The sequence below is a fragment of the Homo sapiens genome, chromosome 22, assembly GCF_000001405.40.
Source record: "Homo sapiens chromosome 22, GRCh38.p14 Primary Assembly".
Lineage (NCBI taxonomy): Eukaryota > Metazoa > Chordata > Mammalia > Primates > Hominidae > Homo > Homo sapiens.
In genome coordinates, this window is record NC_000022.11 from 26,750,548 (window position 1) to 26,775,221 (window position 24,674).

Genomic DNA, 24,674 nt, shown 5'->3' on the forward strand with positions numbered 1-24,674 from the left:
TTGCTGCTTGTGCTCTGTGTGCACGGTGTACGCCTCCGGGAAAAACCAAAGGGCAAAAACCAAGTCTTCACCAACCAAGCTGGTGGAGGCTCTGCTCCACATCCTTCTCATCCACAGACTCAGGCTGATGGAGACTCTATCACCTGGAACATCATCAGTTACCACCACAGGGGGGAAGGGAACGTGGAATCAGATGAGTCTGATGTCAAATCCTGACTTTGCTGTTTAAAGCAAGGGACATGCCTGACCTGCTGGGTCCATAGTTACTGCTTAGCTCCGAGAGTATTGATTTTCCCCCTGTCCAATGTCTTCAACCCTATTCATTGTGTATTCAACCAGGATTTTCAAGGCTTGACTCAAACACCTGCCATTCAGAGATTCCTTCTCAAACTCATCTCATGGCCAGCACCTCTCCGTCATCTTAGCACAGAGGGAAGCACAAAGTAGGGGCTGTGCTCAGTGCCCTGTCAGTGTCTAGCAAAGGCCTAAGCACTCAGTAGGTGCTATGCTCAGTGTCACCCAAGGTGCTTTGCAGTGTCAGGCACAATAGTGGATGTTATTCTCTGTACCATCGGCAATGCCCATCCCAGTACCAAGCACATAGTGTGCTCTTTCTTTGCTGTTTCCTTTCCCTGAGTGTTTCTAGCAGTGTGTCTCCAGGAAGTTATGCCCCAAGACACTTCCTCCAGGTCCTCAGCCTCTTGCACGTTGGGACTTGGAATGTGCCACCTGGAGCTGCTATCAGGGTGCAGTCGGCTGAAATAGGTGGGGTGAGGCAAGCAGTCCTTGAAAAGATGGTCCAGGGCTGTCCTTCCCTGTGGGGGTCATCTGGGGTCAGTGAGCAGCGACTTGGCTTATGCATTTCCTCCCAGGGCCCCAGACAAAGAGAGAGTCCTTGGCAATGCGGTTACCTTGACAACTCTTTGTGTTGGAGAGTGAGAGAGAGAGGGGGAGGAAGGCAGCTCAGGGAAGCGGGGTGGCTGCTGGGGGAGGGGGAAGGAGCAGGGAGGAGCTGGAGGAGAAATCCACCTTTAAAAGGGAAGAGAGAAATGACTCCACTTCTGGGCAGAGGGAAGGAAGTGTCTTTATGGTGCAGGATGGAGGCTGGTCTGGGTGGGACATCCTGCCTCTCCTTCTCACCCCATCTAGAAATTCTGCCAGCAGTCTTAACATCCAGAGAACTAGGTCTGAGTCCCAGCCCTTCTTCTAACTTTCTATGTGACTTTGTGCAAGTTACTTTCCCTCCCTGAATCTGAATTTCCTCTTGTATAAAATAGGGATAATAATCCACAAGGTGACTGTGAGCATTAGCTGAGCATTTCAGGTAAATGAATAGTAGTGGGCCCCTAGTGAGTGTTAACTCCCTGGGGGCCATTATTCATTTGGTATTTTCTTAGTGGTAACCTGGGCTTAGTCAAGTGACTCCCTCACCTTGGTCAGTCTCTTTACCCAAAAAGATTGTAGAATTTCTATGGAACTTGCCAGAAGCTAAGTGGGTGCTGCTGGTAGCTATGGTTACTGATGTTCCTGCCAGACTCTTGACATTGGTGGTGGGGGTGGGGGTGTCAACATTACTGGAATTATTAATTCAGAATATTATGGGTCATCATTGTGCAGAGGAGACCGATGCTCAGAGAGGGGTGGGGAGTCTGAGGTGTGCTTGAGGAAGAGACCTGGGAGAGGTGACCAGTGTGGGGGACACTATGTTGCCCAGCCCTCTGCATTCTGTGTCCGAGGGCCCCCCAGAGCCCCAGGACTTATCCTGACCCACCCCCCCAACCCTGTGTCATGCAAGCCCAAAAGCCAGCGTCTCTTCCTGGCTGCCCAGGACTGCTGAGATGCAGGAAGGTGGGCATCTGAGGTGTCAGTGGGAGACTGTTGGGGGTAGGGGTGGGAACCCTGGCTTCCTGAGAGCAGGAATGGTGGACATGTGGGACCCTTCTGCTGGGGTGGGGCCGGGTGCAGTTCCTCTCCTGCCTGAGGCACCCCATTCCATCACTTGCTGAGGCCTGAGCCCTTCAGCCACCATCTGGGGGATGCAGTCACAGCGGGAGATCGTGCTCCCCACTGTAAGTTGGCAGCCTGTTTATCAGTCTGGCCTAAGAGGTGCAGCTTTCCGAGTGATTTCCCAGATCCTGATCCACCCCAGAAAATGAGCACATGGAGTCTCGACACTCCCTGGGACCTCACTTAGCTCCCCAGAGCCCTTCTGTCTGTCTGTCCATCTCTCTCCTGCTTTAAGGAGTTGTCCTGTCCCTGGGCAGACAGACTCCCAGGATCTGCTGGGAAAGACCCGTTGGGCTCTGACCCCAAATGGTTTCTGATTGCTGGAGGGATGCACCTCTTAACAGCTATGTTCTATGCATGTTACCCGGGGGCAGGGGCAAACAGGAAGTGCTTCTGGTGTTCAGAGGGCTGGAGGAGTGAAGGGTGGGGGGCTGCCTGGAGGAGGTGGCATGCTTCTGGAACAGATGAAAGAAAACAGTAAGTGTCAGAGCCAGGTCCTTTCAGGACACTGTTAGTGGTGGACAGTGATGATCTCCATTTTACAGATGAGCAAACTGGGGCTCAGAGACATTAGGGACCTGATCCAGGTGGTCCAGAGGCCAAAGAGGCCAGGTTTGAAGCTGGGTCTGTTTGATCCAAACCTGGGGCTTGTTTCGTTGTGCCCTGGTGCAGCCCAAGATGCGCATGTCCAGGCGGAAGATGTAGCCAGGTTAGCGTAACATTGGGGATTCAGGAGGAGCCTGGTTAAGGGGAGTAGAGGGCATGAGAGGAGCGATACTAGCCAGGAGGGGGCAGATGGGAGAAGAGTTTGTATTTAATGCTGCTGGAAATCTGATGATGCCACTCCACTTGCATAAAACCCTCGGTGGCTCCCCAATACCCTTGCAAAAGCCATAAATCCTCACTAGGGCTTCAAGATCCACCTTGGCCCTGCTTCCCTCAGCAGCCTCATCTCTCCCTGTGCTGGCACATGCTCACTTCATCCCCTGCAGGTCCTCAGTCTCACTCTGGGACCTTTGCCTACCAACCCCTTCTCTCTGGAGTGTTCTGCCCCACTCCCCTGGATGACTCACCCCCCACTCATTCTCCTCATCTCCACCTAAATGTCACCTCCTCCAGGAAGACTTCCTTGATCTCCTGAGTGCTCGCAGCCCCCTCGGCTTTCCTGTCACTCCGATCTAATTATTATATCTTTAGTGTCTGTTCCATACCCCCTGCCTGCCCCCACCTTAGTCTGTGAGCCCCATGAAGGGCAAAAACCAAGTCTGTTTATCACTGGATCCTTAGTGCCAAGAATGAATGGTGCCGGCACATAGCAGATACCCAACTGAAATTTATTGAATAAATGCATGAATAAAGAATGAATGAGGTAAGAAACCAGTGAAATTTTAGGTAGGAAGAGTAAATTGACAGAAATTGGCTGGTCGTGGTGCAGGATCAGGGCAAAAGGAATACTGATTCAGACAGAATGTCACCCCACTGTGCCTCAAGCCCCCAAAGTGCCCCCGATTTCATCCCACTTCCTCTGTCCTTTGCGTGGAGGTGGGGAGGGGACTCAGCCGGGGCCCTGAAGACATCCCTGCCTTACTCCTCCCTCCCTTTCCCCCAGCCTCCACCTGTGGACTGGAACTCCAGGTACCTTAGAGGCACTCCTCAGCCCTGCAGCTTGCCAGGGGCACTGATTTCTGGAGAAAATCTTAATGGAAATCTCTCCAGCTATTTTTCTCTCTATGAGGAATTAGCAACCACAAAGTGCTGTTTTGCAAATGGTGGCCCTAAGAAGCTGCTTTCTCAGGGCTTCGGTGATCACCAGGAAGACCATCAGTTATTGAGCACCTGCTGTGTGCATTTTCCAGGAAGACCATCAGTTATTGAGCACCTGCTGTGTGCATTTTCCATGAACAGTTTCTGTTCTTTACCACCATCTTGTGTGGTTGGAAATTTCATTCTCTCCACTTTAGGAATGGAGGGAATTGGAACTCAGAGAGAAGAGATTTGCTGAGGTCATTCACTGGAGAAGGTTGGAAACCGTGTTCATGTCAAGGTCTGTCTCTGAAGTCCTTGAGTAACTTCAGGGTGGGCACCGGATCCAGCTGCTGTGGTTCAGGTGCGATTCCTCCACATACATCTACATCATCTTGGGCAAAGGCTCCAGCTTGCTGTGCCTTAGCTTCCTTATCTGTACAGTGGGCACAATAATAGTAACCACTTCCCTGCATCATTGTGAAAAGTTAATAGTTGAGAAAATATTTAAAGTATTTGGCATGACGTCGTATGTTCTCACTCATAAGTGGGAGCTAAGCTATGAGGATGCAGAAGCATAAGGATGACACCGTGGAGTTTGGAGACTCAGCGGGAAAGGGTGGGAGGGAGGTGAGGGATAAAAGACTACAAATTGGGCCGGGTGCAGTGGCTCATGCCTGTAATCCCAGCACTTTGGGAGGCCGAGGCAGGTGGATCACGAGGTCAAGAGATTGAGACCATCTGGCTAAGATGGTGAAACCCCGTCTCTACTAAACATACAAAAATTAGCTGGGGGTGGTGGTGCACACCTGCAGTCCCAGGTACTTGGGAGGCTGAGGCAGGAGAATCACTTGAACCCGGGACGCGGATGTTGTAGTGAGCCGAGATGGTGCCACTGCACTCCAGCCTGGCGACAGTGAGACTCTGTCTCAAAAAAAAAAAAAAAAAAGACTACAAATTGGGTGCAGTGTATACTGCTTGGGTGATGGGTGCATCAAAATCTCACAGCTCACCACTAAAGAACTTACTCATGTTACCAAACACCACCTGTTCCCCAATAACCTATGGAAATAAAAAGTTTTAAATAATTAAATGTTTGGCACAGCGCATTAGACACAGAGCTCAGTCAGGTTAGCAGTTTGCATTAAAGTAAACCAATTTTGTTAGGTGCCTACTAGATGCTGGGGCTATAGCAGGGGAACAGGGCAGAGCCCACCCTCATGGTCTTACCTTCTGGCATTGCCACGCCACATGATATAAGGTATTCTTCTCTGAGCCTTGAGCCATGTCTACATTCACCCATTCCACAAATGTTAGTTGAATGTCTCGTATGTGCCAGGCAGGCCAGGTAAGGAGTAATACGCTGCCTCTCCCTGCAGGTAGAAGACAGGTAGAGGCAGGGGTCTGAGATGAAATAGATGAGAGCTCCAAGGAAATGTGTGTTGGGATTACGATTTGGGAAGAAGAGCGTCAGAGAGAACCTTCAGGAGTCATTAGAGAGGGGAGGGTCATCCAGGAGCAGGACACAGAGCATACAAAGGCCTGGAGTCACATTAAACTTAGTGGCTATTGGACTCCTTTTCTTTCCTAAACTCTGCAAATAGGTGTGATCAGGGACATGGCAACTTTAACCCTGACCGGCTTTATATTCACTACCTGTATCCTCTCACTTAATCTGCACAACAGTCCTGTAGTTATTGTTGTAAACGTGTAGGGATAGAGTCTTGCTTCTCTTATTTTACAGAAGCAGAGAGGTGGAATGCTGTGTCCAAAGGCACCCAGTTATCGGGTCGCCAGGTTTGCAAACACAAGCGCAAAAACACAGCATTCCCAGTTAAAAGTGAATTTCAGATGAATAATGAGTGATTTTTTTTAAAAAAGATAAATCTATCCCCTAGAGATCTTTGATATACTAAAAAATTATTTGCTACCCAGTTTTTGGTAACCTCACCCCATTTCCTTTCGTTTCTTTTCTTTCTTTCTTTTTTTCTTTAAGATGAAGTCTGGCTGTGTCGCCCAGGCTAGAGTGCAGTGGCATAATCTCGGCTCACTGGAACCTCCGCCTCCCGGGTTCAAGCGATTCTCCTGCCTCAGCCTCCCAAGTAGCTGGGATTGCAGGCGCCCGCCACCAAGCCCGGCTAATTTTTGTATTTTAATAGAGATGAGATTTCACCATGCTGGCCAGGCTGGTCTCGAACTCCTGACCTCAGGTGTGATTCGTCCGCCTTGGCCTCCCAAATTGTTGAGATTACAAGGCGCGAGCCACCGCGCCTGGCCCTCACCCCGTTTCTGAACCTCATTTAGCCTGTTTTTTTTTTTTCCTTGAAAATAAAGGTGGTTGTAATTATGATCTGGATTTCTTGAGGGCCTACGACGCACCAGGCTCTGTGCTAAGTGTTATACACAGAGTATCTTGAGCTTCCCACTAAAGGCAAGTCGCGGGGGGCCCACCTGCGCCCTCTGTGCCCGCCTGGTAGCCCGCAGTTCTGTAAACAGCCACGAGGTGTCGCCCTCTGCCCGTGGTATCCTGACGGCGGCGGGGGCGGCCGGGCGCGCGCGGCCCATTCATCACCGCGCGGCCGCGGCGCCCAGACAATGTGGGGAGCGGCCCTGGCCCGCGCCCGCGCGGCTGTCTGTACAAAGGATGCGCTGTTAACACGTGTACGGTAATGGGCTCCCTCACGGCCTCCTCCCCGGCCACCCGCTCCCAGCCTGACGGATGGCCCGAGCCATCCATCTACATTATGTCATGGGCGGTGAGCCTCCTCCTCCGTCCAGTCCGTCTGGCCGTCCAGGACCAGCCATGGCCTTGGCCGTGCGCCCTACTTGGGCAACCCCCATTCCCTTCCCCTCTGCGGAAGGAACCTCGTGCGGAGTGAGGCCTACTACGTGCTGGGCCCCAGCTGTGCTGTCTCCTTGATTTTCATGCAAGGTGATGTGGCTTATTAGCCCATCCTGCAGAGGAGGAAACTGAGACTTGAAGCTGGGAAACCTTTATTCTAAGAACACACAGCTCTGGGGTTTGATAGAGTTGGAATTTTTTTTTCTTACAGCTTTGTTGAGACTAGACTTCTCATACCATAGAATTCACACATGTAAAGTATACATTTCAATTTTTTTTTGTATGTTCACATAGTTCTGCAACCATCACCACAATTCAATTTTACAGCATTTTAGTAAATTCTCCCAAAGAAATCTTCTATCTGTTAGCAATCCCTCCAGCCCTTGTCAATCATTAATCTACTCTCTATCTGTGTAGATTCTCGACATTTCATACAAACGAAATCATGTAACATGTGGCCTTCTGTGCCTGGCCTATTTCACTTAGTATAATTTCAAGGTTCACCCATGTTGCAATGTGCATTAGTACTTCATTCCTTTTTATTGCAGAATAATATTCCATTGTATGGATATACCACATTTTATTGATTCATTTGCTCATTGTTTCCACTTTTTGGCTACTATGAATAATGCTGTGAAAAGGTTTTATGCGGATAGATATTTTCAATTTCCTTGCAGTGAAACTGCCAGATCGTATGGTAACATGATATTTAACTGCTCAAATATCTGCCAGACTGTTTTCAGAGTGGCTATACCATTTTACATTCCCACCAGCAGTGTATGAGGATTTGGGTTTCTCTGCATCCTTGTCAACACTTGCTACTATCTGCCTTTTTGATTCTAGCCACCCTAGGGGGTAGGAAGTGTATCTCATCGTGGTTTTGAGTTGCACTTCCCTGATGACCAAGGATGTCAGACATCTTTTCATTTGCTTACTGGCCATTCGTATATCTTCTTTGGAGAGAAATACTTATTCATATCCTTTGCTCATTTTTTAAAAAATGGGTTGATTGGCCAGGTGCGGTGGCTCACACCTGTAATCCCAGCACTTTGGGAGGCCAAGGTGGGCGGATCACCTGAGGTCAGGAGTTCAAGACCAGCCTAGGCAACACGGTGAAACCCCATCTCTACTAAAAATACAAAAATTAGCTGGGAACGGTGGGACATGCCTGTAATCCTAGCTACTCGGGAGGCTGAGGCAGGAGAATCACGTGAGCCCTGGAGGTGGAGGTTGCAGTAAGCCAGGATTGCGCCATTGCACTCCAGCCTGGGCGACAGAGTGAGATTCCGTCTGAAGAAAAAAAAGTTGGGTTGTCTTTTGATTGTTGAATTGTAAGCATTCTTTATATATTCTGGATACAAATCAGTTATCTGATATAAGAATCGGGAATATTTTCTCCCGTTCTATGGAGGGTCTTTTTACTATATGGTTTTGTTTGCAGCACAAAAGTTTTAAGTTTTGGTGGAAGTCCAACACACCCGTGTTTCTCTTTTGGTGCTTGTGTTTCTGGTATTGTCTTTCAGAACTAAGCTCTGTGGGACTCTAAAATTGGTCCTCTTTTTACTCCACTGAAGTGACAGGTATTTGCTCCCCCATAGGGATTGTGGAAGGAGCTGGTCAGGACTTGGTGGTTGTCTCAGGCTGGTCGGGCATGGAGCTGTGGGGAAGAACAATGACCCTGGAATAAACAATCTGGGTTCCAATCCTGGTTGGGCTATTGCTTTCCTTGGTTCACTGCCACTGAGACTCAGTTTTTTCATCTGTACAATGGAGATAATCGCACGTACCCTTGAGGTGGCTGTGAGATTAAACGAGGGGGTCCGAACACATGGAAGATGCTTGATAAACACAGCTGTGATGACAAAGGCCTGTGAGGTCCCTGAGAAGAGGCCCCGGCTCTCCGCTCTCCCCAGCATGGTGTGAGGCTCTGAACCCAGAACTTACAGCTGTGTTCCTACCCTTGGGATGCAGGTATTGGGATGCATGGCTAGGAGTCCCTGAGACTCCCTGTGCAAATGAACTTTTTTTCAAGTGTCTTAACTCAAAGCACAGTTTTTCTTTGTCCTGCTGAAAACTGCAAGGGCCTCAGAGTGAAGCAGAAGGGATCACTGGGCTTTCAGGCAGAGGGAGGCAGTGGCTCAGGTGGACCCATCGTCTCTGCTGGGTCTCTCCTGGCTCCCACAGCCACTTTATCTGACGTGGATTCTGTGAGGGGGTTCAGAGATGAGTGAAGATCCCAGCTAGGAAAAGGCACCTGGAAAGGAGGTGTTATCACCTTCCTTGGTACTGGTGATGCAACTGAGGCTCAGACAGGTGAAAGCCACTTGACCAAGGCCATACACCTCCCCCTTGAAAAGCAATGCAAAAAAGAGCTCCTGGCCTCTGGGCCTGAGGATCTTCAGGCATCATTCTGGGACATGCTGGGGAAAGTAGGCCTTCTCCCCATTGCGATCAGGGCCTCAGGAAAGTCCCTGTCTGCAGTGCACCTGCTCTGCCCCTCAGTGGGGCAGGGGGCTTTGGAGCCATGCAGGCCTGGGCTGAAATCTGGCTACCCACCACTTACTCTCTGAACTTCAGTCTCTTCATCTTTCCAGTGGAGATACTTATTGTTCCTGCCTCCAAGGTGGCTCTGAGGATAAAATAATTGAGGCGGGTACCAGCTTAGTATGGACTTGACCCTTAGTGAGTGCTTTGAAATAAAGACTATTACTATGGTTATTAATAACTGAGACAAGAGCTCTGCAACATAGATTCACATTGGGATGGCAGAGGCAGTGGGTGGGGTGGTGGTCAGACCGTTCCCCCATCAGGCATGGGCCCCAGAGCTGGAATGTTCAGGGCGTCAGGAAGCTGAGGGCGCTGTCCACTGGTGGACGGAGTTGGAGAAAACTGATTCTGACCCAGAAGGCAGCAGGTGGCAGGGCAGTTACCGAATGCAGAGCTGCTGGAGATGAGAAGACCTCGGGTCATGGCTCTGCTGAAGCCCGGCTGTGGAGAATGGGTCTTGCTGGCTGGTGGGGCTTCCTGTCCCAGAGCCTGGGTTGTGCTGGGTGGTGGTGGGGCTGGGAAATGGCTTAGCCCCTCCTGCCCCTCCAGATGACAGACGGACAGATAGACAGACAGACGGACACTCCACTAGGGGAACATCACCCATTTCTCATGGGTGTAGCCTCCTACTTCTCCAGCATCCTTCCGGAAATTTGTTTCCCTGGCTGTTGCTTCTCTCTGTGTATTTGTGTTCCCTGGGGCCTGGCCCCTAGCAGGGGCTGGCTCCTAGCAGGTGCTCAGTTAATGCCTGCTGGGGTCAGGGGGAATGAATCGACATCGTCTCTTTAGAGTTGAAGGTGGAAATTTGAAGTTCAGCCCCCTGTCATCTCCCCAGATGGAGGCTGATGTTGTCATGCAGAGAACCCAAGCAACCAGGGCTGTGCACAGAGTTCCCAGACGGGGCTCATGTTGTCTGTGGCTCCATGCAGAGACCCTGTGGACACAGCATGGTGTTGGGGTCAATGGACAGGCTCTGGCGTCGAATCTGGGCTCCACACCTGCTGGGTGAGCTTAGAAGGGACTTGGTTTCTCTGAGCCTCAGTTTCCTCCTCTGTAAAACAGGGATAATAGTAGTGCCTGCTTTGGGGTGTCTAAACAGTGTATTGGCCATTGTAAGAGCTCAGTCATGGCCAGGCATGGTTGTCCCAGTGGAAAGGGTGTGGGTGAGTGTTGTGGTATGGGGGTTTCTAAAAGACTCAGCCTGCTCGGGAAGTCACTAGAAAGGATCAAGGTCTGGCTTGAAGCCACTTGCCTTCACAGAGTCTCTGTTTCTTCATCTGTAAAATAGGCTAGTTCAAGTATCTACTTGATGGGATTTGGTGAGGTCAGAGTGTAAAGGCTGAGCACAGAGCCTGGTCTAGAAGGAGTGGTTAGTAAAGAGATGGTGTTGATGAAGGAGGAAGTGGAGGAAGGAGGGGAGGATGCACTCCGAATAAAGATTTGTAGAATCCAGCTCCTATGATGCCCCATCTCGCTGAATAATCTTGGGCAAGTTGCTCTGTCCTCTTGCCTCAGTTTCCATATCAGTCAATGAAAGAGATGAATAAAATCCCAGACCACTGGGTGTCTGTGGGAAGGGTGGGTTTCTACACATAGGTACTGGATGGGGGATGTGACAAGACCACAGAAGGCAGCTGAGTGGCTCAAGCTCATGGGCAAGGGCTGCCCAGTGACCTCACCCCTTGGCCTCAAACTTCTCCCTTCCTTGGCAACAGGGATCAAGAAAGAGTGGACATTATTTCCTGACCACCTCCTGTAGGCCGGGTCCTGATGCAAGGACCACGCATGTTCCAATTCCTGTGCTATTCTCACTGACCCCCTCAAGGCAGAAACAGGAATGAACCCATTTTCTAGCAGAGGAAACTGAGGACTGAGGCCATGCAGTGGGAAGTGGTGGGCTTTCTTTGCTTCTTTTTTTTTTTTTTTTTTTAGACAGAATCTCACTCTATCACCCAGGCTGGAATGCAGTGGTGGGAGCTCCACTCCCTGCAACCTCCACCTCCTGGGCTCGAGCGATCCTCCCACCTTAGCCTCCTGATAGCTGGGATGACAGGCTCATGCCATCACACCCTGCTAATTTTTTGTATTTTTTTGGTAGAGAGGGGGTTTCACTATGTTTCCCAGGCTAGTCTCAAACTCCGTGCCTCAAGCTATCCTCCCGCCTCGGCTTCCCAAAGTACTGGGATTACAGGTGTGAGCCACTGTGCCTGGCCCCAGCATCGGAATTCTAAGTCCAGAATCTTCACTATGAGCCTATGTGTCTCCCTTTAGATAGCCACAGCTCCAGCCTCCTGAACAATGGCTCTGCCCCGAAAGGGAGGGCAGGAGTGGCTCACGGAGGGCTTGACACCAGCTCATCCCTGCCTGCTCCTCTGACATTTGGTGAATCAATGATAGGGTGCATTTTGTGAAACCCTGGACTGTGTGCCACGAGGACCAGCTGCCTCTGTCTCTGTCTCAGTCACCATCCTCTCCTCCACCTAGCACAGCGTCTCATGCAAAGCAGGCAGTTTAATTTTCCTTCCCCATCTCTGCAGCATGTGTCTTGTATACAGTAAGCACTTACCATGCAGTAGAATTGTCCAGTTCTGTAGCAAGAAGGGCCTTTTGAAATTCTAAAGCAGGCCGGGCATGGTGGCTCATGCCTGTAATCACAGCACTTTGGGAGGCTGAGGCGGGCAAGATCACTTGAGGTCAGGAGTTCCAGACCTGGCCAACATGGTGAAACCCCATCTCTACTAAAAATACAAAATTAGCCAGGCATGGTGGTGTGTGCCTGTAGTCCCAGCTACTCTGGAGGCTGAGGCAGGAGAATCTCTTGAACGTGGGAGGTGGAGGTTGTGATGAGCCGAGATCGTGCCACTGCACTCCAGCCTGGGAGACAGAGCGAGACTCCACCTCAAAAAAAAAAAAAAAAAAAATAAAGAAAGAAAGAAAGAAAGAAAGAAATTCTAAAGTACGTCTCACCCCATTTTACAGATGGGAACACTGAGGTCCAGACAGAGGAATGTCTTGCCCAAGGACACACAGTAAATCCATGTAGATCCAGGCCCTGAACCCAGGTCCAATGTTCCTTCCTCCCCTCTATGATGGCTGAGTGGGTTGATGTCACCTGCACAGCAGAGCCTGGGCCAGCTCCTGCATTTTACCCCACACCAGGAGGATGGGCGTGCAAAATGTTTCATGTCAGAGAGAGGCCTCGGGTAAACATAAATCCCCTTGACTTCAGAAAGAAACCGGTGCCAGTGACTAAGCCACAGTGAATAAGGAGGCTTCTCTGTATTGGGTGTGCCAGGCTCTGTACTGGGTGCTGGAGGGCACAGAAATGAGTAAGAGATGGCCCTGAGGGGCTCAGAGACCAGCATGGGAGACAGACAGACAGACATACACACACGCAGACAAGGCTTATCTTTGCGTGGCATTGGTTACAGTCTGACATATTAATGTTGCTTAAATGAATATTGGGGATTGGCCATTGGAAGAGAAAATTCTGTCCCCCTGGAGAGTCGGCAGCTGGGGGTGGGACTCTTGTTCTTTTGAGCTTAGAATGTTTCATATCACAGGCCTGGGCTGACACAGCCGGTAGTCAGACACAGTCCTGCCCTTGACTTACTCAGGGCAGAGACAGGCCTTGTCTGCCAAAACAAAGACCCACGGACTGGGCGGCTTATACATGGAAATGTGTTCTTTCTCTGTTCTGGAGGTTGAAGTCTGAAGCCCAGGTGTTGGCACCTCGGGCAGCCTCAGGGATTCGTGGGTTTGTAGACGGCCTTATTCCCAGCTTTCTCCCCACGTTTTCACACTGTTTTCCCTCTATGGTGATCTGTGTCCAAATCTCCCTTTTGAATAAGGGCACAGTCATTTTGGAGAAGGGCCTACCCTAACTAACAACCTCATCTGAACTCCATCATCTGCAAAGACTATTTCCAAACAAGGTCCCGTTCACAGTTCCTGGGGATTAGGACTTTAACATTGTTTTGGGTGACACAACCTAACCCATGATAGGCCCATAATGAAATAAACATGATACAGTGGTTTCTGAGCATCAGTTGTATACCTGGCATGGTGCCAGGCCCTGGGCATTCCAAGATGCTGAGGCGACATTCCTGCCCTCATGGTGCCCTGAGCACATTGAAGGAGACGAATCATTGCTGGGGGAGAGGACCACAGCGCAGGGTGTGGACTGAGGGTGGCGGCACGTGAGCTACATCTCTGGCTTGCAGGAGGCACATGGGGATGCTCCTTTGCTATGTTTCTGGCTTGCAAGGGGCACCCCGGGATGTTCCTAGAAAGGAAGGTGGCATGATGGTGACAGCCTTGATGCCAGGAGAGGAGCTAGCAACTGAACCACAGAGACATTCCCAGCAGTCAACAGGAGCCACAGATTGATGAGCTAAAGAGTTGTGCAAACAGTGTTTGTTTGTTTTGTTTGGAGAGGGAAGTCCGTGTGTTTAGAGCTCAGCTTGTCTCCCTCCCTCATGTTACAGGGGAAGAATCGGAGGTTCCGAGTGGGGAGTGACTCTCGCAAGGCCACGTGGCCAGCCACGGCCAAGAGCGACACCAGAAGGTGATAGTTCTACTTGCTTCTGAGTCCTTAGAGCGCATAGCCTAGTCTGCAGTTACAAACATGCTTGTTCAAAACACAACAGCCGTTGCTGATGACAATAGAAGTCGTTTGCCTGGTTTCGTTCATCTGCATCTCTAGGGGTTAGTAAATTTGCAGCCAATTTTCAAGGATTTCAAATTGAATTTCTAGGTAGCTTCTACTGAAACGTGGAGAAGTGATTCCTGGTTCCCATGTTTATCCTGTAAAGGGCTGGGCGGAATATTCATTCATCTGCTGAGTGTTTACTGACCATGAATTTTTTGTTGGGCCCCGAGATGAGGAGCTTTAAAAAAGACAGCCTCTCTTGGAATCCAAAAATGCTGTTGCTGCTTCAGCCTCATAAAGTTCAGTGTGCAGTGGGAAAGAGAAGCTGACAAATGGATTGTCAGAATCCAGGTTGCAGAGTGGAGAGGGCTTGGTTAATGGGTCCAAACATGCAGTTAAATAGAAAAAATAAGTTCTAGTGTTCGATAGCACAGTAGGGGGACTAGTCTTAACAATAACTTATTGTATATTTCAAAATAGCTGGAAGAGAAGGTTGAAATGCTCCCAACACTAATGCTCCTAACAAGAAATGATAAATGGTGGAGGCGATGGATACCCCAATATCCCAATTACTCTGATTTGATCATTATACATTGTAGGCATACATCAGACTATCACTTGTGCCCCATAAATATGTACTATTATTATGAGTCGATAAAAAAGAATCCAAGTAGCATGGTTGGAGCATGCCAGGAAGGCTGTGGGGGTCTCAAGGAAGTGTCTGACCTGCCTGGAGGTCAGGGATGGCTTCGTGAAAGAGATGATGCCTCAGCTGAGTCTTGAAAGACAAGATGGAATTCCCCACACGGGAGAGAGGAGCGGATGGCTGGGAAAAGCTGTTAAATGGAAAGCCATTAAATGTCCCTGGCCATGAGGCTGGAAGCAGGGGGAGTAGACAGGGAGAGATTAGCAAAGCCTTGATGTCATGGGAAGGATCTTGAGCTTTATCTAGAAGGTAACAGGTAGCTACAGAAGAGTTTAGAGCAGAAGAGTGACGTAACATTTGCCTTTTTTGAGGGATCCCTCTGCCTACCATGAGGGGAAGAACTGGGAGCAGAGGCAGAGGCCAGTGAGGAGATGGCTGCAATTGTACAAGTGGGATACCTTTAATATTAATAATTATTACAATATATCATGGTGTACCAGACACTGTTCTAAGAATCTTACATGTTCTAGTTCCTTCATCCCCACGTGTTAAAGTGCATATAAAACTCTTAACTTGGGGCCTGGCATAGGGTAAGTATCCAACAAATTATCCACACAGTATTAGCAATCTACATGAACTGTTCGTCCCATTTTGCAGATGAGGATTGGGGTTCACAGTGTTTGAGTAACTTACCGTATTGAAGGCTGTGATGCACAGCCTAGACTCATCTAATGGAAGAAAGGATTTTTTTTCTCTCTCTTTCTTTCTTTTTAGAGACAGGGTCTTGTTCTGTCACCCAGACTGAAGTGCAGTAGTGCAATCATAGCTCATCGCAGCCTTGAACTCCTGGCTTCAAGTGATCCTCCTGCTTCAGCCTCCCAAGTAGGTAGGGCTGCAGTGTGAGCCACTGCGCCTGGCTGGAAGGATTTATTTATAACTGCTGAGAGAATTGCCCTCTTCAGGGCTGCCCCAGCGCAGGAAAACTGCATCACCCAAGTTCACTCCCTTCTGGGGTCAACCCATATCCAATGACTGATAGATGCAAGAGGATAAAGGCCTGACCTCCTTATCCCAACTTGAGACAGCTCCAAAGGGCCAACCAGTTTCAGAGCGCCCCATAGGATTGGCTGAGACCTTTGTTGAACCTTCACCATGGCTCAACTTCTCCCTGTTCCCAACTCTGCTTCTTTTTCCTCTTCTCCAAAGGTGTTGATCCAAGAACACTTCCTACTAAACATGCTGCCCGCTAAACTCTGCCCCAGCATCTGCTTCCCAGGAACCAGTCTGTGACACTTTCCCAAGGTAGTACAGCCAGTAATCAGCAGAGCCAGGAAACAAACCTTGACTTTTTTAGAGACAGGGTCTCACTCTGTTGCCCAGTCTGGAATAATGTGGTGGTGTGATCAAAGCTCACTGCAATCTCAAACTCCTGGGCTCAAGTGATTCTCCCACCTCAGCATCCCAAGTAACTGAGACTACAGGCATGCACCACCATGCCTGGCTAATTCTAAATTTTGTTTTTGTAGAGACAGGGTCTCACTATGTTACTCAGGCTGGTCTTGAACTCCAGGCTGTAAGTGCTCCTCCCGCTTTGACCTCCCCAAACCTCCACTCATTTGATTGCAAAATCTCCATTCTGCCTTCATGCCACTCTATGTTTACCAAGTCTGTTGACTTTCTGAACTTTGGTTCCCTTGTTTGTAAAGTGAGAGTGTATCAGTCAGCTTAGTCCAGGTTATGCTGAGGTAACAAACATCTCCAAAATTATCTATGGCTTCCAAAGATAGTGAGAGGTGAAGCTGGCTGGGCTTCTGGGTCAGGTGGGGACTTGGAGAACTTTTCTGTCTAGCTAAAGGATTGTAAATGCACCAGTCAGCACTCTGTGTCTAGCTAAAGGTTTGTAAACACACCAATCAGCGCTCTGTCAAAAGTGACCAATCAGCACTCTGTAAACGGACCAATCAGCATTCTGTAAAATGGACCAATCAGCAGGATGTGGGTGGGGCCAAATAAGGGAATAAAAGCAGGCCACCCGAGCCCGCACCGGCAACCAGCTTGGGTCCCCTCCGACGGTGTGGAAGCTTTGTTCCTTGGCTCCTCACAGAAAATTCTGCTGCTGCACACCTGGGGGTTGGCACTACCTTCATGAGCTGTAACACTCGCCACGAAGGTCTGCGGCTTCACTCCTGAAGCCACTGAGACCACGAGCCCACCTGGAGGAACCAGCAACTCCAGAAGAGCCGCCTTTATGAACTGTAACTCTTACCACGAGGGTTTGCGGCTTCATTCTTGAAGTCAGCGAGACCAAGAACCCACCGGAAGGAACGAATTCCGGACACAAGAGGGTGACCAAAACTTGTTTTGGTTTGCCCAGGACTTTCTTAGGTTTAGCACTAGAATCCTGCATTCCAGGAAATCTCTCAGTCTCAGGCACCCCAAAACAATTTACTTGGGACTGTCAGTTTTAGAACTGAAAGTCATGCATCTCAGGAACCCCCGCAGACCTTCAAAAACCAGGAAGGTTAGTCACCCTATAAAAAGCAAAGGTTTATTTTTCATTCAAGTTACATGTTCATCACTCACACTTTTATCATTACGTGATGAAAAGTGGCTGATGCTTTGCTTAAAATACTTTTTACCCATAACTCAGGTCAGTGGACATTGCTAGTCCGAAGGCAGTTGAGAAAAGAGATTCAGAGAAGCATGCACGATCTCTTGCAGATTCTACCCAGAAGTGACACAAGTCACCCCTGCTCTGATTTCACTGGCTAGAACAGATCACATGACCAAGCTGCGAGGAATGGGGCAGGATATTTGCTGGGGATGGGCGGGTACGGGGGATATTCAGGGAGGGAATCTGGGGTACTTGGACGCTGCTTGGAGGAAGCATTCTAAAACATCTTGGGTGGCAGCTAAATGCTTCTTTTCGGAGCGCCCTGCATTTTGCAATGCTCTGCCATGCTAATGATTTGAAACGGTGGCTAATCTGACAAGCCAATTGGAGTCCCCGTGATTGCATTTGACTCTCTGACTAATGACAAGAGATGAACTCTCTTTTCTTAGTGCAACTTACGGTTGGATAGACTTGGGCCATCGCCCGGTCCCAATGTTCAAAATGTTGCCTTGTAAATTGTCTAATAAAGTAATAAAGAAAGGGACTTGCTAAATGATTTGTCTTTTAACCGTTGTAATGGGATTTTTTTTGGGTAACATTGTTTTATGTTAGAATGCAAAAATTATCACACGTAATTAGAATCATTTCAATTCAAGTCTCTGCCAGGCCTCTGACATATACTGCGACTTGTGCCACGTCGAGCAAGTCAGCTCGTAAAACCTAATCAACTACAATTTAAAAATGCAGTCAGATTTGGAGTGGTGCGGCAGAGACGAGTAGGGAAGGCTGCCCAAGCTGGCTTTGCCTTGGAGAGTGAAGAAAGAAAGAGGGAAGAAGGGGAAAGAAGGCAAGAAGACAAAAGCCACCAGTGTGTCTATTCAGCTTCATTAGGGGACCGATGGGAGGCAGGTGGTTGCTTTCTGCTGGGGTGGCCTCGGACCCGACTGGCCTTGGGTCAACCTTGATGCTCTTAATTATCCCCCCTTCAGCACCTCTCAGATCTGACATTTGTGTCACCGGGTTTCATTTCCTTCAGGCCGACCAGGTCTGTGTGTCTGCTTAATATTTAATCGTAATCATGCAGACACATGTATGTATCATTTATCTCCAAAAGCTGTAGTATAAATGTTTAACCAGAAAAGCACACGGCAACTCATGTCATCTCACAGACAAGCTTTTGCAGGGTGCAAGGACAGGCAGGCTGCCTCCTTCTGGGATAAGGGTATTTATTGAGAAATATGTCCCTGATTCCCAAAATGTCCAGGTCAGGCCTTGGAGGGTGGGAGAGGGGGTTACCAAGCTGTCGCTTTGTTCCATGGGCTTGAATGAGAAGCTGCTTTCTTCGACCAGAGCTCCAAGTTGGAGAATGAAGATGACCTCCTGCTAGGTGTTGGTGGGAGCCCAGGCCCTGTAATTGTCCCATGATATCCCCGTGCACTGATGACAACCCAATTGTCCTCACTGTGGCCTAGAATTTAGTTCTCTGCAGGAGGGGCTGTCTGCCCAGGCTGGGATGTGTGGGCGGCATCGGAAGATCACGTTGGAACAAGTGACGTGTGGTGGAATGATGACACCGTAAGGAGGAAGTGATGCCATCAGGGAATGGTAGTATGGCTCATGAATATTCTGGGCACTTGTACCCACAGCCAGAGCCGGGCCCGGCTCCTGATTCATCAATATTACGAATCGGCACGGTGGTGAGCAGGCTGTCAGCAACTTTAATTTTTGCTTCAAGTCCAAGGAATTACAATGGAAGTATTTCCCAGGGACTCCCAGCGAGAACGTGGGGGCAGTGCCTTCTGCAGTCAGAGGGGGTGGAACTGGATCTTGGGAGCTCTGCGTTCAAGACCCAGGTGCCCCACACTCAAGTGCGGGGTATCCTTAGGCAAGGCCTGACCCTCCCAGGGAGAGCAAGAGCATGTGAGCACCTAGGATGTGCCGGAAACCACATTGCAGCAATTCTGCAGAGGAGAGATATTGGCCCCATTGCACAGGTGAGGAAGACCGAGGCTCAGAGCAGGGTGGGTTGTCTAGCAAAAGGGTGATGGTGCTGAGGCTGGAGCCCCGTTTGAGTTTGCAGGCATTGGTTTCCTTACCTGCCAAGTGCATGTGATGATGGCTGCCTTGGGGGTTGTTAGGAGGACAAAATGAGGGACTGAGCTTGTGGGTGCTTTGGAGGTTATCTTGAGTCCTTGGGGGAAGGGCATTCAGAATCTTGCTATCAGCATTGCTCACATCAGCTCAGCCTGCTGAGGGCTGCAGAGACTTTTTTCCATTATGTGTCATTTCATCTTCTTAATGGCAGGGTGAGGTAGGTGTGAGCATGAACATGAGGTCCATGCTATAGGAGAGGAGAGTGAAGCTTGAGAAGCAGAATGCCTTGCCCTTCCAAGGCTCCTCAGTGTAGAAGTGGCAAGGTATCATTTGAAGGTCATGGTTGAATGTGTTTAGCAAAGTAAGGAGGGTAGGTGCTAGGTACCCATTTTGCAGATTAGAAATGGGAAGTCACAGGTGGAAAGTCAAAGGACTTGCCTCTGCAGAAATTAAGATTTCTTCCATCATTCTCAGCAAACTATCGCAAGGACAAAAAACCAAACACTGCATGTTCTCACTCATAGGTGGGAATTGAACAATGAGAACACATGGACACAGGAAGGAGAACATCACACACCGGGGCCTGTTGTGGGGTGGGGGGAGGGGGAAGGGATAGCATTAGGAGATATACCTAATGCTAAATGACGAGTAAATGGGTGCAGCACACCAACATGGCACATGTATACATATGTAACAAACCTGCACGTTGTGCACATGTACCCTAAAACTTAGAGTATAATAATAAAAAAAGTACAAAAAAAAAGAAATTAAGGTTTCTTTAAAAGGGGGGAGGGAAAGATGACCCCCTTATCTCAGTCTTTCCCTCTTTATCTCTATTATTTAAACTAAAAATAAAGTGGGAATAATCCTCCCTTTTCCCCTCTTATCCTTCCTCCCTGCCTTTGATGCTTTTACGAGTCAAGTGCAGAATTAGCAACAAAGGCAGACTCATGCCCACTGAGGGTAAGGGAGAGAGTCTGGTCATAAGTGGAACATTCATTAAGCTCCTACCATATGCCAGGCTGTGTAGGGAGCAGACAGGGGTGTTGACATTTGTATCAAGGAATTCATCGTCTTGAGATTTCAGGGTGTTGTTACCCAGAGCAACCTTGAAAATGTCTCTCTTACTTGACAGAGAGGAAAATTCCAACCCAGAAGGGTTACACAATTTCCTCACAGCCTCCAAACCACTATCTGTCATACAAAAACAAAACAAAACAAAAAAAACAGTAGTGCAGTAATGAAGTGAGTAGACTCAGAAATGGGATTGGCAGGACTAAATCTGGGCTATTACCGCTTATTAGCTGTGTGACACTAGGCTAGTTGCTTTACTTCTCTGGGCATCAGCGCTTTCCAGTAGCAACTGGGGCTAATTGTTGTCAGCAACGGGAGTTTCCAGCAGCAACTGGGAGTAAGTTTTGTTAGCAATGGGAAGGTGATTCTGGAATGCCTAATTCTGATCTGCCATTTATCTCCCCATCCCTGCAGGGTTTGGGGCTGACAAAGGTTCGATGCCTGACAAATAACAATCAAATGAGGAAGAAAGTATTCTTTATTCTTCAGCTCCAGGTTCAAGTGAGGTTTCTGATTTCCCAGTGTAAATATAAATCTTGGGACCTGTGTGCTCAGGATTGCCTGTAGGGAGAGAAGGATGGCCAGATCCTGCGAGGGGTCCTAAATGCGTGTACCCTACCAGGTATATCAAGCAAATAAAGACCAGTGGGGATGGCCAGAGATTCCCCAGGGATAAAACTCTGCTTAGAGAGAATCAGGCAAGAGGGTGCCGATTTTGTGGTACAGTAACCCTGTGCATAACTGAAATGTGGCACAATATGTATTTTATATATATATTTTATAGTGACCAAATAAGGATCTCAGTTTATTTTTCTCTGGTTGAGGGCTGGAAAAAATGGTTACTAGAAAGGGCAGAAGAGTCGGGGAGAGGTACGAAATTCCTTTCTAAGGTCTTTCTTAAAGGGTCGTCTTGCCCAGGCGCGGTGGCTTACGCTTGTAATCCCATCACTTTTGGAGGCCAAGGTGGATGGCTCACCTGAGGTCAGGAGTTCAAGACCAGTCTGGCCAACATGGTGAAACCCTGTCTCTACTAAAAACACAAAAGATTAGCCGGGCATGGTGGCAGACGCCTATTATCCCAGCTACTTGGGAGGCTGAGGCAGGAGAATCACTTGAACCCAGGAGGCGGATGCTGCAGTGAGCTGAGATCGCGCAACTGCACTCCAGCCTGGGCAACTCCATCTCAAAAACAAACAAACAAAAACAGGGTCGTCTCATAAATGAGACAGGTTGGGTAAATTGCCTCGCATCATAGTGCCTTGCACATACAGAAAAAAAGTAAGAGTTGCTATTATTGTTGCTTTTATCAGTGGGTACCCATTACCAGCCCAGCCCACCCTTAACCTCTTTTTTTTATTTTATTTTATTTTATTTTATTTTATTTATTTATTTATTTTTTTTTATTGATAATTCTTGGGTGTTTCTCACAGAGGGGGATTTGGCAGGGTCATGGGACAATAGTGGAGGGAAGGTCAGCAGATAAACAAGTGAACAAAGGTCTCTGGTTTTCCTAGGCAGAGGACCCTGCGGCCTTCCGCAGTGTTTGTGTCCCTGATTACTTGAGATTAGGGATTGGTGATGACTCTTAACGAGCATGCTGCCTTCAAGCATCTGTTTAACAAAGCACATCTTGCACCGCCCTTAATCCATTTAACCCTGAGTGGACACAGCACATGTTTCAGAGAGCACAGGGTTGGGGGTAAGGTCACAGATCAATAGGATCCCAAGGCAGAAGAATCTTTCTTAGTGCAGAACAAAATGAAAAGTCTCCCATGTCTACTTCTTTCTACACAGACACGGCAACCATCCGATTTCTCAATCTTTTCCCCACCTTTCCCGCCTTTCTATTCCACAAAGCCGCCATTGTCATCCTGGCCCGTTCTCAATGAGCTGCTGGGCACACCTCCCAGACGGGGTGGTGGCCGGGCAGAGGGGCTCCTCACTTCCCAGTAGGGGCGGCCGGGCAGAGGCGCCCCTCACCTCCCGGACGGGGCGGCTGGCCGGGCAGGGGGCTGACCCCCCCACCTCCCTCCCGGACGGGGCGGCTGGCCGGGCGGGGGGGCTGACCCCCCCCACCTCCTTCCCGGACGGGGCGGCTGGCCGGGCGGGGGGCTGACCCCCCCACCTCCCTCCCGGACGGGGCGGCTGGCCGGGCAGAGGGGCTCCTCACTTCCCAGTAGGGGCGGCCGGGCAGAGGCGCCCCTCACCTCCCGGACGGGGCGGCTGGCCGGGCAGGGGGGCTGACCCCCCCCCACCTCCCTCCCGGACGGGGCGGCTGGCCGGGCGGGGGGCTGACCCCCCCACCTCCCTCCCGGACGGGGCGGCTGGCCGGGCGGGGGGCTGACCCCCCCACCTCCCTCCCAGACGGGGCAGCTGGCCGGGCGGGGGGCTGACCCCCCCACCTCCCTCCCGGACGGGGCGGCTGGCCGGGTGGGGGGGCTGACCCCCCCCATCTCCCTCCCAGACGGGGTGGCTGGCCGGGCTGAGGGGCTCCTCACTTCCCAGTAGGGGCGGGCGGGCAGAGGCGCCCCTCACCTCCTGGACGGGGCGGCTGGCCGGGCAGGGGGCTGACCCCCCCACCTCCCTCCCGGACGGCATGGCTGGCCAGGCGGGGGGCTGACCCCCCCACCTCCCTCCCGGATGGCACGGCTGGCCGGGCGGGGGGGCTGACCCCCCACCTCCCTCCCGGATGGGGCGGCTGGCCGGGCGGGGGGCTGACCCCCCCACCTCCCTCCCGGACGGGGTGGCTGCTGGGCGGAGACGCTCCTCACTTCCCAGATGGGGTGGCTGCCGGGCGGAGAGGCTCCTCACTTCTCAGACGGGGCGGCTGCCGGGCGGAGGGGCTCCTCACTTCTCAGACGGGGTGGTTGCCAGGCAGAGGGTCTCCTCACTTCTCAGACGGGGCGGCCGGGCAGAGACACTCCTCACCTCCCAGACGGGGTCTCGGCCGGGCAGAGGCGCTCCTCACATCCCAGATGGGGCGGCGGGGCAGAGGCGCTCCCCACATCTCAGACGATGGGCGGCCGGGCAGAGACGCTCCTCACTTCCTAGATGTGATGGCGGGCTTAACCTCTAAATGAAATTAGAAGCCATGTGTTCTGACTGTCTGTATTCATCAGGATGCATAAGGAAAACAGAAACCCCTCTAGGTATTTCAATCAGGAAGAGATTTAATACAGGGAATGCAATGCTGCAGCATTTAGGATAGCAGGGTGTGCAGGGATTCCTGCAGAGCACTACTACTGAGGTCCTCAGCTGCCTACAGCACCAATGTGGGTTACTTAAGAGAAAATGTCCAGAAGATGCTGGAAAACACCATATGTCTGCTTTCTGCGAAAGTCCCGCTGCTAGTAGAACAATAATGCTTTCTTATTCTCTCCTGTCTTCCAGGTCTCACATGAGTACTTCACAATGGGGAAACTGAACTGGAACTCTACTGACAACGCAGTTGGGCAAGTATAGTTTCCAGGCTCTATCTAGCCTCATGATACAGGGGAGTATGTGGCAGGAAGCAGCAATGGCACTGAGATGCCAACAGTCCAGCTCCCTGTGCAGGGTCACCCCACCTCCCCAGAGGTTTTCTAACTGTGCTTGGGGTCCCCAAGGAATGTAAGGAACTACAAGAGGCCAACAATGAGGTGCACAGAATTTCATGTTCACTTCCTACTTTCAACATGATCAGCTCAACCCATTGTACTTATTGGATTTTATTTGAAAAAAATTTCACACACAAAGTTTGACTGTCATTAGATCACAGCACACTGGCTGAAGAGTGTTAAAGAAAAAATTATTCTGACATATGTGAAAACAGGAAGACTTTATTTAGGACTATCTTGTTGGGTATCAAGATGATTGCAATAGGCGAGAGAGATCAGGTTCAACTTCAAATGCAACAACTGAAGATATATGATCAAGGGTGGCGGGTTAGGGAAAGGGTAAGTGGATGGAAAATTACTAAGAGGGGAGATCAAATGGAGGAATTCTTGCCGAAGACAGTCCAAGGTGAACAGATATCACCTGGGGGACAGTGGAAAGATGAGGGATTTGACCAGATATGAATGATGAGCAGACAGCGGGGTGGGGGATGGTTCTCCCTAAACCAACTTAGCAGGATTCTTACTACAACTGGGCTATGTAGGCTCAGCAAAGGCAGGTGCCAGGGTCAAGGCTTAGCCAAGAAGAGGGTTCAGAGGGGCCTGACTGGAGCTTGGTTAAGGAGAGAATCTTTGTCAAGGGACAAGTGTAGCTTCATAAAAGGACAACATGGATTCCCCAGTCGGTTTATATGAACCAAAGGGAGGCACAGACCATCTTGCCTTGTCTTCTCCATCATTTAGGATCCCAAGCACAAATCTTGCTTCTCTTCCAGCTTGCAGTCCTCATGCAAATAGATGCCCGAGGGTAGAGCAGGCCTAACATGCCAAATTTCCACTCTTAGGCTCTGCTGAGATCTACA

General features: G+C 50.0%; 1 long non-coding RNA gene across 1 annotated transcript in view, besides 3 other annotated features; it reads left to right on the forward strand.

Moving 5' to 3' along the window:
- Positions 1 to 24,674, forward strand: part of MIATNB (MIAT neighbor) — a 108,051-nt gene that overhangs the window by 77,705 nt on the left and 5,672 nt on the right. Inside the window, exon 3 of the long non-coding RNA NR_110543.1 lies at positions 23,609 to 23,670. This is a non-coding gene — a long non-coding RNA (MIAT neighbor). The remainder of the gene's footprint in view (positions 1 to 23,608; positions 23,671 to 24,674) is intronic.
- Positions 467 to 1,464: an enhancer, noted in NCBI's record as "OCT4-NANOG-H3K27ac-H3K4me1 hESC enhancer chr22:27146977-27147974 (GRCh37/hg19 assembly coordinates)". NCBI's record gives its function as "activates a minimal SCP1, AML or CMV promoter by ChIP-STARR-seq in primed H9 embryonic stem cells {active_cell/tissue: H9 hESC(primed)}" and the evidence as "EXISTENCE:reporter gene assay evidence [ECO:0000049][PMID:30033119]".
- Positions 1,465 to 2,463: an enhancer, noted in NCBI's record as "H3K27ac-H3K4me1 hESC enhancer chr22:27147975-27148973 (GRCh37/hg19 assembly coordinates)". NCBI's record gives its function as "activates a minimal SCP1, AML or CMV promoter by ChIP-STARR-seq in primed H9 embryonic stem cells {active_cell/tissue: H9 hESC(primed)}" and the evidence as "EXISTENCE:reporter gene assay evidence [ECO:0000049][PMID:30033119]".
- Positions 2,464 to 3,461: an enhancer, noted in NCBI's record as "H3K27ac-H3K4me1 hESC enhancer chr22:27148974-27149971 (GRCh37/hg19 assembly coordinates)". NCBI's record gives its function as "activates a minimal SCP1, AML or CMV promoter by ChIP-STARR-seq in primed H9 embryonic stem cells {active_cell/tissue: H9 hESC(primed)}" and the evidence as "EXISTENCE:reporter gene assay evidence [ECO:0000049][PMID:30033119]".